This window comes from Homo sapiens, chromosome 2 (genome assembly GCF_000001405.40).
Source record: "Homo sapiens chromosome 2, GRCh38.p14 Primary Assembly".
Classification (NCBI taxonomy): Eukaryota; Metazoa; Chordata; class Mammalia; order Primates; family Hominidae; genus Homo; species Homo sapiens.
This window is the reverse complement of record NC_000002.12, coordinates 216579186-216584842: the sequence shown is the minus strand read 5'-3', so window position 1 is coordinate 216584842 and position 5657 is coordinate 216579186.

The window sequence follows — 5657 nt, the reverse complement described above, 5'->3', positions numbered from 1 at the left end:
AGCCCTGACTGCTGCCCGAGTCCACTCCCATCTGTGGAGCCTCCACTCAGGAGCCCATGAATCAGCTTCCACCCAAGCTCCACTCTACAGCTCCATGCAGCTCAAACTACCTGCTCATGAACAACAACCAGAAGATGTTCCTCCCGTCTCAGATCAAGCCATCAATGCCCTTTCTCCTCTCTCTGGTCTCACTTCTTGAGATATGTCTGCCACGGGTATGTCTGTGGCATTCCTCTGCCCATGTTCTCTCTGTACCTCTTATCATTTTGAAGTCACAGGTTGTATCAGTCAGCATCCAATTAGGAAAGCAGAAAGCTCTCTAGACACTTACACAGGGGAACTGTAACACAGGGAACTCTTTACGTGGAGAGGGAGAGCTGAGAGGGCGGAGGACGGTGAGGAGCATGAAGGTGGTAGGTCATGCGCACCAGGGCAGCACCCTAGAGAAGGTTCAGCAACCAGACAGAGGGAACCCTGTTCATGGAGCTGCCACGCTGACTCTGACTTGTGTAAGCCCCGGCTGTTAAGTGGAAGAACAATGACCTTCTACTACATCTAAGCCACTGTTACTTGCAGTCTCTGTTAGGGCAGCCAAGCTCATACATAATGAATGCGTCTTTTTTTTTTTTGAGACAGAATCTCACTGTTGGCCAGGCTGGAGTGCAGTGGCACAATCTCAGCTCACTGCAAACTTCACCCCCCGGATTCAAGCAATTCTCCTGCCTCAGTCCCCCAGCTAGCTGGGATTACAAGCACATGCCGGGCTAATTTTTTGTGTTTTTAATAGATGTGGGATTTCACCATGTTGGCCTAGCTGGTCTCAAACTCTTGAGCTAAAGTGATCTGCCAGCCTCAGCCTCCCAAAAGTGCTGGGATTACAGACGTGAGCCACCACGCCCAGCTGCATCATTTTTTATATTGCTTGTTTTGGGGCAATTTGCAAAGACAAATTGCCTTTCCTTCCCATTCAGCTTGGCGACAGAGCCATGGCCATGGCCTTGCCATGTGAAATAGACTTGAGGCATTCATTATATTCAAATGAGTACTGGAGCTACAGTGACCAGCTGTGTCTGTTTGTCAAGGAAAAAGGGGTTTCCTGGGACATAGAATTTTCAGTGCTTACACAGGGAAAGTCCCCGGCAAACTACAGTGGGTTGGTGATCCTACCTGCTCCTTGTGCTTGTAGCAAGCATGTTTCTCAAACAGAAAAGCACCTGTCGGCATCCCTGGCCCTGGCCCTGTCCCCTCCCTCCCCGACACACAAACACACACACACACACATATACACCAGGGTCCAAACCACTGTGCAGGCGGCCACCTTCATCGAGCCTGGTTACCTCCCAGTGTCTCTGTGCTTGAGACACAGTGAGTTTTTCCCTGCCCACTGCTTCATTTCTGAAGAGAGTAAACATCGACTCAGCTGCGGCCTGCCCAGAGTCACCATCCCAGTGCTCTTCCAGCAGCTTTGGCCCTTTGCACCTGAGTCATTCTCCAAGATAAATTACGTTTCTCTGGATCTGAAGCTCACGTCACATTCCTTGCTTCTAGGAACTTGCTTGACCACAAATATGATTCTCTGGTCCCACGGTCTCTGCTGAGCTTCTGTGCTCCTCCTCTCTGCAGGAAAAACTCTGGGTGAGGGCGTCCTTCTTAGCAGAGTATGTCTCTCATCCTGCTTTCAAAGGTGTGCAGCTATTAATACATGGACTGGAAGGAACCGTGGACTGAGCTCTGTCCCCTGTGTTCGGAAACCTGCCTCTGCCTCTGTTCTCTCCATAACATTGGGTGGGTTGTTTCATCCTGCAGAGCCTCAGTTTTGGGGGGCTGAAAAATGGCCCCCCCAAAGGATATCCAAATCCAAATTTCTGGAGCATGCAAATGTTACCTTATTTGGAAAAAAGGTCTCTACGGATATAACTAAGTTAAGGATCTTGAGATAAAAAGATTATCCTGGTGAACCCCAAATGCCATCACAAATGTCCTTGTAAGAGGGAGGTAGAATGAGATTACACAGACAGAAGAGGGAGTCAAAGTGGCCCTTGAGACAGAGATTGGAGTGATGTGGCCACAAGTCAAAGAATGCCAGCAGTCACCAGAGTATGGAAGAAGCAGGACTGATTTTCCCTCAGGGCCTCCCAAGGGAACATGGTCCTGCTGTTATGTGCTGAATTGTGTCACCACCCCGAAAGTAATATGTTGAAGTCCCAACCCCCAGTGCCTCAGAATGTAGGTATATTTGGAGATAAGGTCTTTAAAGAGGTGTGTGAGTTAAAATGAGGCTGCTAGGGTGGGGTCCTGATACAATAGGACTGATGTCCTTATAAAAAGAGGAAGAGACTGGAGGCTGAGGCAGGAGAATCGCTTGAACCCAGGAGGCTGAGGTTGCAGTGAGCCGAGATAGCACCACTGCACTCCAGCCTGGGTGACAGAGCAAGATTCCATCTCAAGAAAAAAAAAAAAAAAAAAAAAAGAAAGAAAGAAAAGGAAGAGACAGCAGGGATGTGTATACACAGAGGAAAGACCATGTGAGGACAAAGAAGTGAGCAAGAGCCCCCTGCAAGTCCAGGAGACAAGCCTCAGGAGAAAAGTCCTGCCAACACCTTGATCTTGGACTTCCAGCCTCAGGAACTGTGAGAAAGTAAATTTCTGTCTTTTAAGCTGCCCAGTCTGTGTTTCTTTGTTATAGCAACCTTAACAAACAGATACACCTGCCAACACCTTGATTTCAGCCCAGCAATACTGATTTCAGACCTCTGGGCTTTAGAACTGCAAGAAAATATATCTCTGTTGTTTGAAGCCCCCCAGTTTGTGGTATTTGTTGCAGCAGCCCCAGGAAGCTAGTACAGGTGGTAGATAGTACCTACCTCACAGGCTTCTTTGAAAGATAGAGGGAGGTCACAGGTAGACCTGCTTGGCTTTGTGTGAGTACCCTCTACATTTTCGTGGCATCTGAATTCTCCTCTCATGGGGATTTTTCTATATGTTTATTTTTCTGCCCAAGTAGAAGCCAAAAAATAAAAATAAAAAATAAAAGCAAGACACACATGCCATGGTGGCATTTTGGGTCATCTTCTCTCCTTTCTTTTTTCGTGCCTGTTTCCTGCCTGAATGTTCCAGCTTCCTTCAATGGGCTCCATCTACCAGGGCTCCAGGTCAGCTAACAGTGAATTATTGACATATCTGCCTCATCACTTAATAGTAACACAATAGCTGACACTTATGGAATACTGATTCTGTGCCATGCCTTATGCTAAGTGCTTTACCTTCCTCTGAGCATCCCTTTAATATGGACTGCTATTATTCCAATTTTACACATAGGGAAATTGAGTCACACAGAGGTTAAAGAGTTTACCCAAAGAAGTGACAGACCTGGAAGACAAACTCAGGTTTTTGATACCCAAACCTACACCCTTACCCACTCTGACACCTTAGGAGGGGAGGGATCCACCTTATCTTAGTTAACTTTAACTCTTCACTGTGTGCTTGGAGCACAGTTTGGACTCAGTGAAGGCTTAATGGATGGACGGATGGATGAATGAGTAAATGGCACTTTGCATAGACCAAAGGAAAGTCAAGAAAATGTTCTTCAGCGCTTTGCTCTGTCCAGCTTCTCTTTAGCTTGACTCTGCTGCTATTGCTACCATGACAGTCCCGATCTATCCACCGTCATGCATGGCCCATACCCACACCACACCCTCTTTGTTCTCTGCCTCTTCTACTCTGGGGCAGGGAGAGTCTGAGTTGAGCAGCAGCACCTGCACACCCTCACCCTCCATCCACTCACCAATGGCCTCATAGCTCCTTGTGAATGGAAGAGACTAGAATTCTTAGGAGCCTAGTGAGAGAAGTCTAGATCCAGTGAGATTATGGAAATTGTGAGGGGCTGTGGACACGCCAGACATTATTGCTATCCCAATTTACAGAAGAGGACTTAGGTCCTCCTTTAACATCTCTAGACTTAGGTCTAGAGATGTTAAAGCCACAGAGAACTTGATGTTAAAAACATTTTTAAAAGAATGTAAAGTTAGTATAATAACTAGAATCTGGGAAAAAAATGTAACAAACTATTTTTTACTTCTCCAGAATAAACTAAGGGCTGATATAGTCAATGTGGGAGGAAGGAAGGGCAGGAGGAAGGAAGGGAGGAAGGAAGGAAGGAAGGAAGGAAGGAGGGAAGGAAAGAAAAGGGAAGGAGAAGGGAAGGGAAGGAAAGGAAAGGGAAGGGAAGGGAGAAAAGAAAAGAAAACTTGATGCTATTTTTGTTTCCCAATCAAGTGCCCTTTTCAACGTACCAAGTCAATAAGAAAGCAATCCAATCTAGAAGAGAGAAGATGGGACTTCAGAGCCTGGTTCCAATTCTTACCAGTTGTGTGTTTTTAGGCAAGTTATGTAAATTCCCTGAGCCTGAGTCCCTTTGCTCATGCAACACAAGAAGACTATCTACCCACCACCTGGCCAGGCTTTCCATCACTGAGAGACTTCTGGGAGAGAGGTTTTGATTTCAGAACTACATACATGAGAAATTGACAAGTTCCAATCTTGTCTGGGCTCACTGTACCTGCCAGTCTCGGCCCTTTGGGGGAAGAGGGTAGTTTCCTATTAGTGACGAGGAAAGGTCCTGAAAACCTTGGCTCTACATCAGTGACAGCTGCATCTGTCTCCAGATCAGAACTGGAAAAATGAAGAAAAATTAGCGACTAATTGGAACGCCTCCTTCTCTGAGTAATACCCTATAACATCACTTTGTAGTCAAGAAAATATTTACCTGGCAATTATATTTTAACATAGTCAGCTGTCCCTCCTTTGTGATGAATGCCTCATCGCTATGGAAAATAATCTCTTCTCTAAACTGTGTATTTCACGACTTAACCCCTGCCAAAAATGTGCTCCCATGTCCCTTTTCTTCTCTATAGTTTAAAACACACTTGAATGGAATGTGTTTTTAGACAGGATCTCGCTCTGTTGCTCAGGCTGGAGTGCAGTGGCACAATCTCAGCTCACTGCAACATCAACCTCCTGGACTCAAGCTGTCCTCCAACCTCAGCCTCCTGAGTAGCTGGGACCACAGGCATGTACCACCACGCCTGGATAATTTTTGTATTTTTTGTAGAAATGAGGTTTCGCCATATTGCCAAGGCTGATCTCAGACCCCTAAGCTCAGGGAATCCACCCGCCCCAGCCTCCCAAAATGTTGGGATTCCAGGCGTGAGCCCCTGCACCCAGCCCAAATGACGATTTAAATAGAAATCTGCAACATTTTCATTGAACATAAAATATTCCAGCCCCGATGTCATAATTACAAGCTCCTAGAGCAAGTTTCTCAACAGTGGCACTAGTGACATTTTGGGCTAGATCATTCTTCATTTTGGGGGCTGTCCCATGCATTGTAGGATGTTTGGCAGCATCACTGACCTCTACCCACTGGATGCCTGTAGTACCTCTCCTCCATGACAATAAAAGGTGCTGCAGACATTGACAAATGTCCCCAAAGATGTGGGGTGGGGGTGGGGAGACAAAACCATCCCCAGTAGAAAACTACTCTCCTAGAGGGAGAGCCTGGGCCTGGGGGCTTCTCTTTGCCCTGCCTCACCTGAAATTAAGTACTTTATAGAAATGCTTTTATGGCAGTGCAGCTGAATTAAGTATAGGAGTAAAGG